The sequence below is a fragment of the Homo sapiens genome, chromosome X (assembly GCF_000001405.40).
Source record: "Homo sapiens chromosome X, GRCh38.p14 Primary Assembly".
NCBI classification, from domain to species: domain Eukaryota; kingdom Metazoa; phylum Chordata; class Mammalia; order Primates; family Hominidae; genus Homo; species Homo sapiens.
In genome coordinates this window covers 11,290,320-11,309,617 of record NC_000023.11, presented here as the reverse complement: position 1 = coordinate 11,309,617, position 19,298 = coordinate 11,290,320, and the positions used below count along the sequence as shown (strand labels likewise).

The window sequence follows — 19,298 nt, the reverse complement described above, 5'->3', positions numbered from 1 at the left end:
TAAACTGCCATATGTCTACCTCATTTATCTCAACTTTTTAACTTTTTAACTTTTACACTTTTCTTCCTAGTGGGTGCTTGGGGGCTTTCAGCCTTCTGTGCCTGGGGAGGACTTTCAGAACTAAGAGCTCCCCAGGGTGTCTGACTCAGAGGATCACAGTGACCCAAGGCTCTCTCCCTCCGAGATCCTCTAGTTGTGCATTCCAGACAGGGAGACTGCCTGGCCGGCTCCTCTAGCACTTTGAGCAGTGTCCCTCCCTGCCTCCTGTCTCCTTCTCTGTTCCCACACTGCACAGGGGCTCTGCGTGGGGAGTATGGGGGCTCGCTACTGCCTGGAGCTGCTGCTATTGCTGAGGTGTAAGAACCCTGGAGAGGTAAGAAGATACGGTGTGTGTATTTCAGGCTCTGTGTTTCGTGCCTACTGCTAGAAGCAAGGTAGGACCCAAGCCAGGAAGACGTGAAAGATTCCATGGGGTAATAATCCCAGAGCAGCATCTGGAAAAGGTGAACATAAGTAGGAAAGAAGGAGGGAAGTAATAGCGTTGGAGGGATTTGCTCAATGTGTCCTGGCGCTTGAGTCTCTTTTAACATCAAAGCTCAGGTGGTTCAAATGACAGTCACACTGCCTCTGCCTGTTGCTTTAAGAGTAAATTCAGAGTCTTCAAACCAGGCTTATTGGAATATTACATACCATTGCCAAGACGTGTATATTTTTATTGAAAGTTCAGAGCAAATCATAGTAAGGACCCACCATTTCTTCTGCACCATTCCTTTTGGCTATTTTCTCAGTATTTGAAAATCAATGGAATTTGACTTTAACATGCACATTGGCTTATAATGTTACTGTTGCATGGGTCTTAATGTTACTGTTCCAGTCCAGTGTTTTTGTGCTAGAGGTAAGGAAACTGAAGTTCAGAGTGAATCAGGCATTGCCAGGATCACCAGACTAATCCAGGATGAGCCAAAACATCATTGCTATGGAGTGTCTCTTTGGGTCTCAATCATTGGGTACTATATAATGACTGACGACTGGGGACAAGGGCATAGGTTGCCCTTTTCCTTAGTATGATGAAGGATCAAGATTCTATAACATCGATAACTGATTAGGGTACTAATGTGGAACCACAAAATGTGGTTCAGCTCTGTCCTGTGGCCACTCCATGCAGCAAAGACAGATGGCTGGTTCAGAAAACTTTGGTTTTGTTGTTTGCATACAATAAAGGTAGCATCTGGTGCAAATTTTATTTTTTTTAATGATTCCAGGGTTTTTTCTTTAATGATTTCATAGAAAGAACCTTAAAACTCATCTTTTCAGAATATTAATTTAGATTGTTACCGAAGTGTTCACAGAGCCTAATTAAATACTTGCTGGTTTCATATAGCTACAAGTAAAAGCTGCTTTGAATCCTTCCTAAACTTATATTGGTTTATTTGGTGAATTGTGTGTTAACACCAAGAAAGTGAAATCATTGGCTTTTCTACAGATTGGTGATCTATTACCTTAAACAATATGATCAGGCCACATCAATTCATTTGCAAATTTCTTCCTCTCTCTATCATGTGCACATGCCACCATAGGTATAAAGTAATTAAAATATATACGAATTATTTAGTTTGTTAAAAGCCAAGTTGCTTTTGAAGAAAATTTGCTGCTCTTAGATTATGATTATTTACAGTTTGTTAAGTGATTTCATTTTGTAGGCATAGACTTTTTATTGTGATTCTGATTATTTACAGTAATAGCAACTATCAAATCAACTAATGTGGTGGTGATTGCAGATTTTTGGATATCTATTACTGTTTATCGGGAACATTTTTTCACTACCAGAACGGGGAAAAAAAAGCCACAAAAGCAGTAAATCCCATTGCTTTCCAAGTGTCATTGTAAATCCTGCTGATAAGAACTGCACATTTTAGCAATGTTTAATAAGTACTTTAAAAATTGAGAATTGTCTCAAAAGAAACAGATTTTGAAGTTCCTCTGTTGTACCTACTTCCAGATTAAGAAAAATCATTTGTGGAAAACAAGTTGATCCCAAGTTCCTAATCACAGGGAGAAGATGGGATTTTGTAAACCTGCAGAGCCTGAATTTGTTATTGCATGCAGCTGTGCAAATTTGCAAACATTTCCTTCCCTAGTCAGGACCCTATGGAAGGAGCCAGTTTGGACTGCTGCCTTGATAGCTAACATTTGTAGAGGCTGCAGTGCAGGAAGCTATTGGGGTACCTGAACTTTGTCATCTATTTTAATCTGGGCATTAGATGCCAGGTAGAGAGAGTATGCAAGCCAATTAGTTCTGCTTCAATGTCATGGTAGGGATATATCAGTAGCCTTATTATTCTTGTCATTCTCGGTGAATTTCAGAATGCTGCTTGAAATGGGCTTTCTGTATGCGTTGAGTGTGTGTTCAGTGGGCTGTCTGGGAAGGAAGATAGCGGAGGGCCAAGGCCTGGGTCTCCTAAAACACATGATTATTTCATTGAACTAATCAGTGAGAGAAAGACAGGGCCTTGTGGTTTCTACGAGCACTGGACTTGCGTTTCTTTGTTTTCCATCCATCCTTTGGAACCAGAGAAGGCATGAGGACCATCCATGAGCAGGTTCACACTCAAAGCTGGTTGCCCTTACCCTGGTTGCCATGGCAATGTTGTCCTAGCGTAGGGGATACTTGCCTATGTTTGTAGCTGTCTCCTCCCCATCTTTGGCAGTTTAGCACAAGAGGCAACTCCCTCATGCAACTACAGAGCATTTAATGAGTTAGGGATTCTTCATTTTGAGTTACAGTTAGCTCTCTAGTATATTTTTGGGAGGACAAATGGGCAGGAAAAATTAAGTCACAGGAGACAAGCTTCATGACTCTAATGGAGTTGAATTTACATTTGCCATTAAAAATAGCTATAGATTGTTTAATTAGAATCCTAGAGGCGGATGACGAATTAGTTTATCTTTCAAATGGTACTCATAAAAAATGGGGCAGTGTGTGTGTGTTTTAAAAGAGCCTAACTTCTTGTTAAAATTTAAAGTTCAAACCCTCATTTGTAAATTGGTGATAGAGACAATTCTATAACGTTGTGAGAATTAAATGAGCTAATACATGTCATGTGCTTAGAATAGTGCCTGAAATATAATAAGCCCAGTAAATGTTCAGTGTTATTATTATCATTACTTTTATATGACAGCATCCTGGGTGTTTAATGCTAATGATGGCTCATTGAGCAGATATTAAGCATACTGACCAGTTTCCAGGTATTTTTCCAAATCTGCCTCAAGGAGCTTGACAGCTAAGGGGGAGACAAAAGTAGAAAGAAGCAGTTGTTTGAAATAGAGGCATGGTCAACATATCCTGGGAAACCTCTGAGCCTGTGCACTCCAGCCCTGTGGACTAGCGAGAGAGGTTTCTAGAAGAGGTGACATTGAGGTGTTGGTCATTGATGGCTGCTCCCAGATGTGTGGATATGGGGGCAAGGAGACAGGGGAACCTCACTTCCAGGAGTGCCAGCCAACGTAGAGCAGTGAGAGAAGATTTCTAGAAGAGGTGGCATTGAGGTGAGGGTCACTGATGGCTGCTCCCGGATGTTTGGGATACAGCAGCAAGGAGGCAGGGAGATCCTCACTTCAGAAGTGCCTTGAGTTGGTTATTTGGACAGATAGGGTGTTCGATGGCCTGGGTCTGTCAGATATTCTCAGCTGCCCAAGGTCAGTGCTTAATCATCTTCTCTCCTTACAATACACTGCTTTATATTCTCCATGGCTGTAGGGGTTTTATTCTGTAACAATTTTGTAACAAAAACTTCTTAATCAAAAGAATCATTCTTTTGGAGAGTGGTGGTTCTGAAAATCATGAGAATTAAGGCATCTTAAATTACTGCCCACTTTATGGACAGAACCACTCATTTCTCATTATTCTGCCAGATCCAAGCAAATCTCAGAACAGAACTTATCCCAGACTAATTGAATAACCTTGAATTCAGTAGTTACACTCATGGCTAAATTTATTATTTTCTCCTCTTTATCACTCGGGTAGACACAATCACTTTCAGAGGTTCTTCAGTCTGATTTACAATTAGCTCCTTAGCACATCTTTGGAAGGTCAAACAAGCAGGAACAATTAACTCACAGGAGACAAGCTTCTTGTAACCTCCCAAGAAACAAATACTCACTTCTAAGTAAGTTCTGAAGAAGCAAATAACTATTCTAACTTCTGTCGGACGGTTTTTAAAAATTTTGTTTTAATTTACTTTTTTTATTTTATAGATTTAGAGGGTGGACATGCTTTCTTACATGGATATATTGTGTAGTGGTGAAATCTGGGCTTTTAACAGGATAGTTTTGATTTAGAGACATTAGCTGACTTAATCACGGGACAGCACTTTCTTTATTTTGCAAATTCTCCTTAACACCCCTACCACTCCCCAAGCTGTTTTGATTTGTTTAGATCCCTGTTGTGACTCCAGACATTGCCAAAGGTCCCCTAGGAGACACAACTGTACCTGCTTAAGAACCACTCATCTAGAGGAAAACGGTTTGGTAAAGGCCGGGTGCAGTGGCTCGCGCCTGTGATCCCAGCACTTTGGGTGGCTGAGGCAGGCAGATCAGGAGGTCAGGAGATTGAGCAATCCTGGCCAACATGGTAAAACCCTGTCTCTACTAAAATACAAAAAAAATTAGCCAGGCATGGTGGTGCCTGGCTGTAGTCCCAGCTACTCAGGAGGCTGAGGCAGGGGAATCGCTTGAATTTGGGAGGTGGTGATTGCAGTGAACCGAGATTGAGCCACTGCACTCCAGCCTGGCGACAGAGCGAGACTCCATCTCAAAAAAAAAAAAAAAAAAAAAAAAAAAAGTAAAAGAAAGAAAAATGAAATCCTTATAATGTGGAATTAGCTGAATTGTGCCAATGCCAGAGTGACAAGGGAAGGGTCTGAGTTGGGAGTCACTGTACACAAAGGCTCAGCCCTAGAAAGAAGGTAAAAGGAAGACATGCAGAGAGAGGTGGTCTCAAGTTCTAGCCTCCACTTAGTGGAGCGCCCCCATGACACTTGCCTGGTGTTGCTCTCCTGTTACCCTCAGAGTGGTGAATTGAGGATGAAGGCTTGTCTTGGAGGCAGCAAAGAACAGTGTCTGGGGATATCAGGTAGGAGAAGGCAAAGATCATTTAGGGTCACAATCAGTAAGGGAGGTGTTCAGGTGGCTACACTGTCAGAGTGATGCACTGATAAATGACAGACATGGGCCGGGCATGGTGGCTCACACCTGTAATCCTAGCACTTTGGGAGGCTGAGGTGGGCAGATCACTTGAGGTCAGGAGTTCAAGACCAGCCTGGCCAACATGGTGAAACCCCGTTTCTACTAAAAATACAAAAATTAGCTGGGTGTGGTGGCTCACTCTTGTAATCCCCTCTACTTGGGAGGCTGAGGCTGGAGGATCACTTGAACCCAGGAGGCGGAAGTTGCAGTGAGCCAAGATCATGCCACTGCACTCCAGCCTGGGTGACAGAGCAAGACTCTGTCTCAAAAAAAAAAAGACAAACGTGATGTACTTCAGTGCCTGTGGCATCAAAAACTTCCATGTCATATCCTAATTTTGTATCACTCCTGCTTCCAACTGGGTAGTGTTCTCTTTGGGAGTCTACAGAGGCAGGACAAAGCTCTCTTTCTGATTACAAGAACTGTAGCTAACATTTATTGAGCTTGGGGCTCATTAACATGAAAAGACTCAGAGCAGAGCATGATATTAGTACATTTTATAGACGAGTGTACTGAGCCATAGAGAGGCCAAAAAAATTGTCCAAGTTTCCACAGCAGATAGGCAATGGTCATGATTGTGAATCAAACGGTTTGGTTATGGAGGCTGCACCCCCTACCATCACACTGGAAAGCCGGCTTTGTGCTTCTGTGGACACTTAACTGACACCCCCAGAGCCTGCACATTCCATGGCCAAATATGAAGCATGGAAAATTATTTGGAGAGGCAAACAAAATTTGGCTGTTTGGAGGAATTGAGATTTTAATATCGTTCATTTTTAAAATTAATAGTAAAGTGAATTCTGGGTCCTGTGGTGTTTTTTGTTGACCATAGGACAATGATATTTGCAAATGGGCTTTATTAATTTAGATTTTGTGATAGAGGATTCAAGTGTGATTTATTGAGGTAAATGTTTCGAACCCAAATGACCACTCCTTTCTTCTCTCTTCAAATCCTCACCACTCCCAGCCCAATCTTATTCCTCAATAATTATTTATCGTCTGGAAGAGTCAGGTGTTTCAAATGAGGCCAGCATGGACTTTTCCCAACAGGGAGGTATTTTTTAATATCTAAATGTCGGCCTATGGCCCTTGCTGTTAAGGCTCCAGATCAAATAGGGGCAAAAGGAATTGAAAGCCAAATCACAAAAATAAGTAAAAACTCCAACTAACAAGAATTTCACAACAGACATAAGCTGATGACTATTTTATTAAAGCAATGTGGAGTACTACTAAATGCTACTATGTTCTGGAAATGTAGGAAATTGGTTGAAGTCGTTTTTCTCTTGTTAGTCTCATGTTAAGCTGTTCATACTAGGATCTCTTGGGTTATTTTTTCCCAATTAATACAGTTGTCTACTAATTTATTTTCTTTTTAAAAGTCTTGGCCTTAAACTCAGTCTTGGTATTTTCAGCTATTGTTTACTACCAAAGGAAAAACTTCGGATTTAGAGAAAAGTCTGTATTTTTATTTTGTGTGGAGTTGAGAAAGGGGATGGTAAACTTGACATTGCTTGGAAATGAAATGCACAGCTTGATCTTTTTTTCTTGATATGATTTTTGTATTGGAAGAACTGTAGTATGTCTTGGTGGTGATAATGAATACCATAACCACATAATCATTCTCTAAATGATTGTAATGGAAAGAAGTTTTATTTAAAATTTCAAGTTACTCAAATGGCACATGTCTCCACATGTGTCTTTTTACTACAGGTAAACCCAGAAAGCATGCGTGGTTATGGGTGTGTGAGTGTGTGTAACGTGAATGTGTGCCTCCCTCTATGTTATGTTGCACTATTAGTTTGAACCACAAAATAGAAAAGAATGTAAATATCTTCTGAACTCTGGATTTATCTGTTCTAAATGAAAGCTAGAGGGGAAACCATTTTAGTATGTAAAGTTTGGCCTGAGGAAGAGAATGGCACTTCTACAGTTCTTAGAAAATTCTCATAGAGGATCAGGATTACTGGCATGCTTGGGGAACAACTTGCTGTGGGTAGCTGAGATTTTCAGTTTCAACCAGCAAATCTGTTTTGTTTCATCTTTTGTTTAAAATATTTGAATTAATAAGAATTATTTTTCAACTTCAAGAAGTAGTACATAGAGCAATGCTGTCTGATAAAACTGAATGGTGATGGAAATATTCTGTATCTGTGTTGTCCAGAATGGTAGCCACTAGCCCCATGTGGCTATTTAGCGCTTAAAATGTGTCTACTATGACGGAGGAATTGAATTTTAAGTTTTATTTAATTTTAATTTATTTACATTTAAATAGCCACATAGGACAGGACTACCATATTTGACAGTGCAAGTATTAGAGTATAATTACCAGTTAATGTATGTCTCTGGTTTGAAACATTCCTCTGTATTATCACACTACGTATCTGAATTTTGATTTGGAAACCGTGGCTGAATGCTGGGATTGATTCCAGCTCTGCCAACAGGAAAGGAGTGGTGAGGAAAGCTGTTGGACAGCTAGCCAAGGATATTTGCCATATTTGCCAGAGTGTTTTGACTGTACTTCTGTCATAGTATTAATACCATTTGGCCTTTTTAATTGTTATTTGTGGGCTTATTTTACCCCTTTGGTAGATTCTAGATTCCTTAAGGATGGGGCCTTGCTCTTTTCACCAGCACATGGAATAGTGCCTTGCCCTAGAGTGTGCTTAATAAATATTGACTCAATTGATTAGAATTGGTCCATGCCAATTGATTAAAAGCTTTTCTACCTTTAAAAAATTGAATCTAAATTCTTTAAAATCAAGTTATTTGTTTGAATATTGACACCCTCCCAATAAAGTTATGTTTATTCATTCCAGAAAATGATTAAGGGGCCTTAATCATAAAGGTACTGGAATAAAGTTACCATGGGTTTGTGTAATATAAACCCTGCAAAGACTGTTTACAATTCTGTGTGGGTGTAGGAAGAAAAAAGGATTCAAATATAAATATGAGTGAGAAAGAAAACTTGTTTTGAGTCCATTTTATGCATTTGTTAACATTTTGAAGACTATACAGTACAATTTATCTTAAAGTTATGAGGTGAAAGAAATGACTTGTGTTTAAAATCACTGCAATTCTCTATTTGAAGCTCCATTGATAACATTTTTTGAGGAAAACAAATTACTTGAATAACTTTAAATTCAGTACATTATTATGCATATCACATAATTTCATTTAAAAATCTTTTTTCCATAGAATGAGATCAAAAGACCAGATTTTGATTGCCAGTGTGGTGTGAAGTGTAAAGCCAGTGTTCCATGTCCTATTTTGTTTCATAATATAAACATTCTTCAAAAGTTTATCTTTCTTAATGTAAAGAATTTTTCATATAAACTTCCCTTCATTTGGTTCAGGTTTTAGTTATTGTACATATTCATAAATTTTCATTTTATCAACTGTTTTAACTGATGTATAAACTTTGTTTTTTAAAAAAGATTTGAGACAGTATAATTTAAATTTTCTCTAAAAAGAAATATATTCCTTATTTGCTTGCCAAATGGTGAATTTGTATGACTAAATGAGCAGTTCCTACCTGATTCAAGAATACTCATTCATAATATATCATCTCAAATGATAGGAAAATTTAAGTTTCATTCAACACAAAGACATGAATGATTTTTAATGCATTTTATTGTCTGCTAATGGTACTTTTTTAGTTACAGAATTTGCTAAGTAAAGTGATTATAAGCAAAAATCATTGTGTTCTTGTGTCACTCCTGAAAGCATCTGAAGTATTCATTCCCCTCTCATCTTCTGATCTTTTAATCCTGAAAAAAATTGCAAAAGAACAGTTAAAATAATTTACAAATGTTCCTAGTGAGTACCATTTACAATAACATGTCTGGCTTCAGTTTTGTCAAAACAATGTACAACCATTTAAGTTGAACTCTATAATTTCTGAAGTTTCTTTGTTATTTCGTTGTCATTAGATATTAGGTGTCCATGAGGACTGCTTCCACCTTCAGGACACTTAAAGCCTATTATTTTATAATAAAATAACAATTGCTACCTTTTTGGGGGGTACGTCTTGCATGTCAGGCTCCAAGCTTATCACGCTATTTTGTTTTCCATAAAACAACTCTAAGAAACTATCAATGTTTATACTCAAATTTTACACAAAAAGAAACTGAGTTTTAAAGAGTTCAAACTATCTGCCCAAAGTCACCTTTCCATAAATAGCTTTGTCAAGATGTGAGCACATTATAAAGTTCATGGTATTAATTATTCATAAAGAAGTAAATGCATTTTCTATGTACAGAGAGAACATGTGCCTTGGACTAGAATAGCCAATGATAGGCACCGATTACTTGGGATTCAATCAATTTTCAAAAAATTCTGCCCCATATTTTCCGTAAACATGCTCACAATTATGAAGCCATTTATGACATATATTATGATTTTTTTAAATTCAGAAACTATGGTATTTATAATTGGACAGAGACTTGAAAATAATCTGATTTCGTCATTTTCCCCCATTTAAAAGAAAATAAAACACCGATACATTTGAAGTAACTTTTACAATACTGCCTCGTCTTTGAGGGCAAAGCCAGAATTGGAACCTTTGTGTCCTGGCTTCTTATCCTGGTCATTTCCACCTCACTTCTCTCTTCTTCTCAGTAGCAAATCATCAATAACATGTATAAATTGGAATTACAGTTGGATACATATACATGATAGGATCACATAATCTCGTATACATAGAAGTAAGACTTTATGGATGTAGATTAAGTTTGTTTTGTTGACTATTCCCATTCATTTGTAAGAGCTACCTGTAATGGAAGATTTAGTGCTAAATTGCAGTAACTTCTTGCTAAAAGCTTAATCATCTATAGAACCCCAGTACAGAAAAGGAATCTAACAGTATGTTTAGTTTAGCCGCCTCCAAGTTAGATTGAAAACTACTGGAAATGGGGAATCTTCCTGTAGGTTTTTGAAGAGATTTCCCGTCTACCTTTTGTAGCCTGTTCAGATATTTGCACTCTCAAAATTATCCGCTCCCTCTTGTCTTAAGCCTTCAGTGCAACTCTAGCCTATTCTTGCTAGTCAAACCTTTGAAATATAAGGAGAACTGATATTCCCTTATACTGTTGCCCTTAAAATTCATGGGGTTTAGTAATATATATTTCTATTAATGGGTTTTGGTAATACATATTCTGGTAGAAATTCAGTAATAGTAAAATTGAAACCTACCATAAAAACTGTGGTCTTAATTACCAAGCCATTTAGAGGAATTTGTCTTTAACATAAAGGTATAGCATATTGCTTGGACTAATAGAATCATAGACCTGTAACTACTACAACTCTAGATCCTTGGTTGTCGGAGACCTTAGAACTCTGGGGCCTATTTTGCTGCACCATTTTCACAGGATTTGCATTGTAGTGGCTTCAAAATATACTCACCACTTCCTCCCGCTTGGTCTTGTCTGTTGATGGCCAAGCTTCCAGAGTCAGATCAGGAAGCATGGGAGGCAGGGGCTGCATGGGGAACATCGGAGGCAGAGGTGGCTGTGGCGGCAGGGGCTGCATGGGGTGCACAGGTGGCTGGGGCTGCATGGGCTGGTGAGGCTGTGGCTGAACAGGCTGGGGCTGGTAGGGCTGCTGGGCGGGCGGAGGGAGGTTTGGCTGGTGGTGTTGGATTGGAGTCATGGAGTGTTGGCCAGGAACGGGCATCATTGGTTGCTGGGGGATCACGGGCTGCTGAGCTGGCACCACTGGGATGTGGTGATGAGGCTGCAGGGTGTGAGTCGGGGGGTGCTGTTGGGACAGCACGGGGATGATTTGGTGGTGCAGCCATCCACCCATGGGCTCGTAACCATAGGAAGGGTACTGGTGAGAAACAGAGAGGCAGGTTTACCATTGGCTCAGGTGACTCCAACCAGAGAAGCAGCAGTGTTTTCTTTGCCATTATGGCTATAGGAATATTTTATTCATTTTTCCTTTGCAAAAATTTGTAACTGTGTACACAGATATGATTTTTTACAAACTAAATTTCCCATTAATGTCTGCATGTGGAGTAGACATGATATTTCACTTAATATGGGAATTTTAATGCATGCCTAATATTTTCAGGGAATAAGGAACAAAATGTCTACATACCGGTGGCCTTATGCTCTGGTACCACTTCAAAGGGGTAAGCACCTTAAGAGAAAAAGATATTAGAACCCATTTGATTTAATTTACTTTCATCCAATATAGAAACTCACTGATGCAGTAGGAAATATAGACTCACTAATGCAGTCCTGTCAACATTGATAGCCTGAGAATGTGAGTTCTACAAAAGAAAGAAGAAGGTAAAAATTTGTTGGGTGCTTCCTGTGTGACAGGCACTGTGTTTACATCCATCACACACATTCTTCATCTTTTCTTATATGCTAGGAGGCAAGTATTATTACTCTCACTTTTTAGATAAGGTTATGGGGAGTTAAAGAGATTCATTAACTTGACTGAGGTTACACAGGGAGTAAATCTGTTTAATTCCATAGTTCCTTCTTTTCATTGTAAGAGCAAAACAAACACAAAATTATGACATAATAATATGACATGATGTTAATTTCATTTTTTTCTTTGATGTCACAATGGGAAAAAGAGAGGTGCAAACACTGTCCCTCATCCTAGAAACACAGATTGACTGATCAGATGTGTCAATCTTTTCGGTTCAACAGAAAATCTTGCCTCAAAATCTTACTAACATTTGTCTTCAGCTTTTATAAGTAAATAAACTCATAGATTGTTACCTGAACCTGTGAGAGAAGTAAGAATCTTATTCCTTTCTGAACAGTATATATACTTGGTTAGCCTTAGGTTTGAGGATTCTTCATATAGTAATACGGCATTTAATCGATACAAAAAATAATCAGTAACCTTGCTCATATTATACTTGACAAAGCACTTTTCATATTCATTAACTATATTACTCTCCAAACAATATTTTGAAATATGGTTATTATAATTATTTCCTTTCTCCAGATGAGGAAACCAGGGTTCCAGAAAGAGGAAATGATTTGCCCAAAATCACAAAGTTAGTAAGAGGTTGAGGAGAACCTCAAACCCGACGTCCAAAACTCATGCATTCCGCTGTTCTGCGGAGTCTCTCCTATACCACTTAGTCACTAATATTTCAGCAGAGGCAAGCAAGAGACACACATAGAGTGTGACTATCTTAGAATCAGGAGTTTTTTGAGCTGGAAAGAGTTTTAAATAACATCTTACCTAATCCTTACATTTTACTAGCTGGGTTAGAACCAAGCTGGTCAGAGTTTACTTTTTGCCCTATCATGGAGCCTCCCTGAGTAGTGGTTCATGATGGGTAAGCTTACGGCCATATTTAGGAGGACAGACTGAGTCAGAGTGGCCAGGCGGGAGGCTGCTGGGACGACACAGGCTTGAGGCCAACCATCAGAGCTTAAACTGGGAAGCTGGTGGTAGGAACTGTAAAATCAGGACCACTTGAGAAACATCTGGGATAAAGAATCAACACACTATTCTTTACAGAGCCCAGGGCATTGTTAACGCAAACAATGGTCAAAATTAGTAAAGAGAAAAATTACCTCATAGCTGAAGTTGATATAACCAGGGTGCCCAGGATGAGGTGGTAGCTTTTACAGGGAGGAGGGGAGGAGAATAGAAAGAGAGAGGAAGGGAGAGAGTGAAGGAAGAGAAGAGAGAGGAAGAGATTAAGTCAGTATGCAATTGTTCACATTAAAGGAGACTGAAGCTACTTTAAAAAAATCTATATAGTGCAGAATATACTTGAGGTCTGTTTTTAGTTTGAACAAATGTGCTGTATAGAAGAGGAGACCTTTTATTTTAAAGAGGTTCAGAACAGCTAAATGACTGTTCCTGGGGTTATAGCCTTATGGCTGGAGACCTGGAAGCAGAAACCAGCACACATTTATTCTCCAGTGATCTTTGGACAGCATCCCACCCCCACGCCCAGTGTTTTCAATGAATCCTACCCTATCCTGCCCAACAGTTTACTTGCTGATAAAACTCACCCCATAATGGGGAGAGAAGTGTGTTTCTCTTTCACAATAAAGAAATATCAACAAGGAGAGAATTGTCTCACGAATGTTCCCTTGTAGATCAGGAGGTGGTCAAGTACTTTTAAGTATCAAAGGGATTTCTCATAATTGACATGCAAAGTAAACAACACTTCCATACAACAAAAGAAGCCACAAAAGAAACCACAAGGTGGGAATTATTGATGAATGCCAGAACAAGATGGGTGGAGCAAAGTGGAAACATTATAAATCCCATGGAAAATGAAAGAGTTGATTTATGACGTTTAGGCCGATCTTTTTTTATTATTCTGCCAACGGTTTTATGGCAGAAAAATTTTCAAGTTAAAAATAAAAGGCCACCTGAATGATGATCTGAATCAGGACTGTCTGTCCTCTCAAAAGTGGGGCCCAAGTGTCTGGTGCCTGTATTGTGGAACTCTGGTTGTGCCTGGGGTCCAGGGAGGAGAGACGGTCATGCAGAAAATCTCCCTCAGACATTGGCCTCATTTAGGATTGGCTCTATTATATTCTTTAAAAATGCTCACATTTCATGGGAAGGTTTATTCTCTCTCATCTGGATGTGAATGGTTTTAGTCAGGTCCTATACCCTCTTGAACAATACCATCTTAGAGAGTGGGAAAAGGGCTGAATTTGTAAGGCAGGGACCCCTGAGGAAACTAGGAATCGCTGCAATGCAGGATTTCAGGAAGTCAGAGCACAGAATCTTGGTTTTGTGGGTGAGAGAGGAAGAGAGGAGGCAAGGGTGCAAGCTTGCTGGCTTCTGGTTGTATCAACTGCTCTTTATTCCACCAAAAAGCAGATGCAGCCTGCTTGGCATGCATGTGATCTAAGTTCTCTGCCCTTATGCACCTGTGTCCAGACAGAGTGGGTCTAATGTCCTGATCTTTAATACATTTGAATATAAAATATATCACTATGTATTGGGTGTAGGCAGGATCCCGGGCAACCACAAAAAAGTCACGTACTCATCAGATGTACCCAAAGGGGTGGGGCCTCTGAGAACAGGAATGTGGCTCAAAAAGTGGATTCCTAACACAAAAATCTTACCCCCTGAGGGGTAAGAGCAGCAATATGTGGAGGGCAGGAAGAGATTTGGAATCTTGAGAGGAATTGGGTTTTAGACAAAACTGGCATCTCTGTAATATTTGTCCAAAGCTGGTTAAGCACTTTCTCTGGAGACCTTTCAAGGGTCCCTTCCAAAAGCTTCCTCCATCTAGAGATGGGTGGTGATATTTACAAGCTAACAGTTCCAACAGAATCTCCTGGGGTGCTTATAAAAATGCAGAGTCCTGGGCCCCGCCCCAGCTGTACCAAATCAGAATTTTTGGTAGCGGCATTTGAGAATATACCTTTTTAAAACAAGCTCCTGAAGTGTTTCTTCAACCCAGAGACATATGAAGACATCTGATCTCATACTGTTTTAAACCCTAATTTCACCAACTATGAGCAGATTTTTATGTCCAAGTTTGTGAAATTGGACACTGACTTATGCAAGGGGTGTTTTACTCACAGGCATGGCAAAAGCTGCTCCCAGGAGGCAGGCAAATAAAATCCAGGTCCCCATTTCTTGATGGTTCTGAAATGTAAGTCAACATCCACTTTTCTTATCTCTTCTGAAACATGGATGTAATGAATGCTCCATAAAACACACATAATCTACATTAGTCTATTGCTAGTAAGAAGGATGGAGCCATTGTTTGTGAATTTACTTCAGTCATATGTGATTTCCAGCTCTCAGCCTATTTCATTGTTTCTGGAGTCACAGTAGTGATAAAGATGCATTTAATTTAGGTTGAGGGCTAAACAAGTTACAGGGACATGAATGATCTATCTTCATATGACTTTGCATGCCATTTTCCTATGCCTATACAGCCCTTAGTCATAGAAGCTAAATTGTATTTATAATTAATGATTAAAGGAATAAAGTTGGCTCTAAAGGTTGGGAAGATCATCAAAGTGCACAGTATTTTATAATTTTAGAACAAGGAGGCACAGAAATGTCTCGTGCACAGTCTACCTGGACATTGCTACTGTTAAAAACAAGGACTAATCATTTGAGAAAATATATTAATTTGCCAAGATAGATTTTAGTTCCAGAAATTCCTATCTACAGAACTTCAGGCAAGACCCTCCAGTAACATCTCTGAGCTCCAGATTGTGGAGCAAAAGATGTGGCTGAACCAACAGGAGAGGATGGTACGAATTTTATGTGATTCTTCAATGAATTTTGAATACTTTCTCCCTAAGAGGTTTCATTTTCTTTCAATGGAATCTTCATTTTGTTTGATGTTGCACTGTAATTATTCTATAAATAAGACCCTTGGGACATTAAGCAAAACAGGTCCTCCTAAAATGTGCACATTGATTTGTGGCACAAATTACTGGGAAAACTGTCAGAAGAAAGACCTTAAATTTTGTATAAGAAGTGAATATTACATGTGATAATGCTGTCTATGAAAAGTACACTAAAGTTTTCTAACTCCTAAATTTGTTTTTTGTTTGTTTGTTTGTTTGGGTTAATGAGAAAAAACACTTCATGGATGGTTCTATTTTATGTAATTAAATAAAAAGCTTTTCAAAGTAGTAGATCACAGCCTGTGAATGTATTATTTTTACTTTAATCGATAATTAATTAAAATAAATATTTTACTGTGAAATGTGGCCAAGAAAGACCTTTGGAATTAGACAAGCACTTTGTTGCATTATAAAGTTAAAAATCATTTCAGTAATCAGAGTCTAATTTAATTATGGGCCAACTAAAAAGTAACTATTGATGGCATATAGTATTAGAAATGTAGAATACATTTATATCTTTTAAAAGAAATGCAGAGAAAGAAATAAGCACAATAAAAAGGATATCAAATTATAAATAAAATCCACATACCTTTGAATGTATTCAGTGCAAGTTTCTGTTTGAAACTCAGGGATGCTTGATCCTTTAGATTTCTTCCAACTATAAGCTCAATTTATATCATTCATGGCATCTGTAACAACCAATCCAGTTTCTAAAGGAAAAATGTGTTGAGTATAACTAAAAATCCCTGTATCATGATTTTTTAGAAGCTATGATCAGACATAAGGCTGTATGTTGTGATTAGTGCATATGGAATCTTTCATTATGGGCAATAATAGGTTTAACAGGCAAAGAGTTTCATCACGCTATTTTGAAGTCAGCAAATTAGTTGACTGTACATGTTGATATATTCAGATTTATTTTTAAAAAGCTTCTCTGCCATCGCCTTTTCCTCAGTTCTAGCAAACAACGTTGTTCTTTACAAAAATCAAGGTAGGTGGTTGAGATTCTCTAGTGTAATCTGGATATCCTCCAGGATTTTTCCAGCCCTTTCAGATCAGGAGAAATTGATTCAAATTCCCATTTGGGTAAAACCCCAAAGCTCTCTCTAGTTTCTCTCTGAGGAATTATAATTTTGGGATCACCACTGCTCTATTATCTGCTTCCATTGAAGGTATTTTTTCTCTGTTCCCCTTGGCTACTCCTTTATCACCCCTCTGGTGTCCACCAAAACAGGGGACAAAGCCCCTTCTCGGCCCCATGCTGAAACCCATCTACCGTAAAAACAATCAGGAACTTAAGGTTCTTGCAGTAGCAAAGCTTTTACTGATGATCTATACTACAAGGCAAGGAGTGCACACCAGACAGCACATTTTAAAGTAAATTTTGTTTTTTACAAGCAAACTCATGTCACAGGGGATGTTGTCCTTTGCCTCCCATCTCACAGAGCAGCTTGGCCTCTCAGTATGGCGGCCCTTCTTTGCCCATATCCTTCTGGCCCAATCCCACTTTCTCATACAGGCAAACCCAAATTCCTCTCTATTTTTCAGAGTCTCTTAACTGTCTGGCTAGCTACTTTGTTTCCATGTTCTCAGCAGCCTCCCCTTTCCCTAAGCAATGACCAAAGCTATTCACTTTCTAAAAGAACCTCTGATCATCTACCTATTAAATTCATGTGTGTTTTACCCCTCTACCTTGGTATAACACATGGGCTTTTTCTTTCATTCTGGAATTTGATTAGATTGATCTAATTGAGCAAAGTTGTAATTAGTGGCAGGAGCTAACTGACGAGTCGTCCATCAATATTAGATCAATAAAGGAGATACTGAATATCTACCCAGATACAGTTGATGTTATACTTGGATCTCTTTGAATACACAAGTAATACTTATAAAGTTTGTATATATACATATGTTTATACGTATATATACAAATTACTTAGCCTGTCTGAGCCTCAATTTCCTGATATGTAGAATGGAAATAATAACAGAACCTAGCTCAGGGAATTCATGTGAAAAGTAGATGAGTGACATCTCTGGGGAAATGGAAGTCTATTTATTACTCTCCCCAACCCTGTCAGCTGGCATACAGTAAATGTTTAAAGAATGCTAATAAACAAGATTCCAAGATGATCTTTGGGGATAAATCAGTAGGGATGAATATTGCAAAGAAAGGTAAGACCTTCCAATCAGGGAGAGAGAGATTGCAAAGAAGGAAGTAGAAGATTATAACAGGTAAAATGTATGCATGAAAAGAAACATAGAATATGATTCTAAAAGCCAAATGTCCCCAGGATTTGGCTTTATTTATGAATATATTTATTGGTGAATTTTATAGCAGAGACAAGAAGGATTCCCTTTGAAGGAAGTTGGAAAATGGACCTTAGGAGGATTGGCAGGGGTGTACAGCAAGGTGGTAAGGGAGAGGAAGGAAAATGTGGATCACATTTTATTCACTTTCAATCTTTTTCCCCCATTTTATATAATTACATATATTGGAGTGTCTGAAAGGATTCAGGATATTTTTTTTTTCTACAAAGTTGTGGGTAATCTCTACTAATGAAGTCAATGATGAATTACTAGTAGCCTTGTAGTTTTAGAAAGATTGATCTTATACTTTTTCTCACCTTCTAAGAATGAGAGGATGATATATTTGGCCATAATGATCAACAGGATGCTGCCTTAATGTGGCATTAATTCCTCTGGACCACTGGATAGTGAGTTACCGCTAATTCACCATGGACAGTTGAACAAGCTTTGATGGCCGATTCCATAGAAATAATTGATTTTCCCCTACTGCATATCCTGAATCATAGGACATTAAAATATGGATCTCTGTTTGAAATCTCTTCCACTAATTTAGGCCCCACTTACACAGCTTAAAAATTGGTAAATGTTTTGAGGAAAATGAAATTTCAATTGAAATATTTTTCCTATAAGCAATTATTTTATTTATGAATAAATTGACTGCATAAAATAGTTCTTTTGCTCATTTTTTTGTAGTAGGTATTCTTTTTCTTGACTTGCAGCCCAGTACGTTTTGCTGTTCTCACAATGCTTATGTTAGCAACTTCCCCACTTCTAATTTGCTGCTTCTAATTTACAGTATGCTAGAAAATCATATGCCCAAGCTTGTTAAAAGTATGCGTGAACTGAAAGTAAAGGAACACTCTAAGTGGGGCTGGCCTGGGAGGGCCTCGCCTGTGAGAAAAGCAAATGAATTTCGGTTTTGTGACACTTATTTTTGACTGCTGGGAGGGTGTTTGGTTTGTTTTGGGGTTCCTCTCCACTGGCTTACTGCCTGGGTTTCAACAGCACTCGGGGTATGAGGGTGGCCTTTGGATAAGTCAGGTATTATGAGTTTGCAAAGCCTTTCCTATCATCTGTAAGAGTTCAACTCTTGAGCCTTCTTTTAAAGCATCCCCAGGGTTATCCAATATTCTGGAATAATTTCAACAGTGAGTCTTCTTAAGTAGCTGGAGCCAAAGCTGGCTTTTAAATATTTTCTCTGTAGATGTTTACTTACAAGAAAACATCATTCTCTAGGATAGCTTTTTTTTTTTTTTTTTTGCTGGGGTAGAGTTGGAGTTGTATGATCTTCAGATCTTAGGCACAAAACCACCGATGAATTCCGATACACATCGTAACTTTGACCCCACCGCAACCCTTAGAAATCAGGTATTGTGTCTTATACTTTCTTGGGAGCTCCTTGGTACCTAGAAAAAGCTCTTATACAAAGTA

General features: G+C 38.6%; 2 protein-coding genes across 8 annotated transcripts in view, besides 1 other annotated feature; one reads left to right on the top strand and one right to left on the bottom strand.

Annotated features, from left to right (window-relative positions):
* The window catches only part of ARHGAP6 (Rho GTPase activating protein 6), a 528,377-nt gene that overhangs the window by 356,303 nt on the left and 152,776 nt on the right, over positions 1-19,298 (top strand). Inside the window, exon 2 of one of the 4 annotated variants that reach the window (NR_109776.2) lies at positions 19,140-19,235. The exons of the other annotated variants lie outside the window; for them this stretch is intronic. The gene's annotated coding sequence lies outside the window, so the exon portion shown is untranslated. The remainder of the gene's footprint in view (positions 1-19,139; positions 19,236-19,298) is intronic. 4 annotated transcript variants of the gene reach the window in all.
* Positions 30-16,205, bottom strand: AMELX (amelogenin X-linked). Of its 4 annotated transcripts, NM_182680.1 has the most exons (7): positions 16,150-16,205; positions 14,776-14,841; positions 12,792-12,839; positions 11,474-11,515; positions 11,341-11,382; positions 10,645-11,070; positions 8,857-9,011 (listed from the first exon to the last, which is right to left on the bottom strand). In NM_182680.1, the coding sequence occupies exons 2-7, from the start codon at positions 14,827-14,829 to the stop codon at positions 9,006-9,008; spliced, it is 618 nt and encodes a 205-aa protein (NP_872621.1). In that variant the 5' UTR covers positions 14,830-14,841; positions 16,150-16,205; the 3' UTR covers positions 8,857-9,005. The 4 variants fall into 4 exon arrangements, with proteins under 4 accessions (XP_016884893.2, NP_872621.1, NP_001133.1 ...); NM_001142.2 differs by lacking the exon at positions 11,474-11,515; XM_017029404.3 differs by lacking the exons at positions 8,857-9,011; positions 11,474-11,515; positions 16,150-16,205 and adding an exon at positions 30-494 and having other exon boundaries at positions 14,776-14,829.
* Positions 4,002-4,650: an enhancer, noted in NCBI's record as "NANOG hESC enhancer chrX:11323088-11323736 (GRCh37/hg19 assembly coordinates)". NCBI's record gives its function as "activates a minimal SCP1, AML or CMV promoter by ChIP-STARR-seq in naive H9 embryonic stem cells {active_cell/tissue: H9 hESC(naive)}" and the evidence as "EXISTENCE:reporter gene assay evidence [ECO:0000049][PMID:30033119]".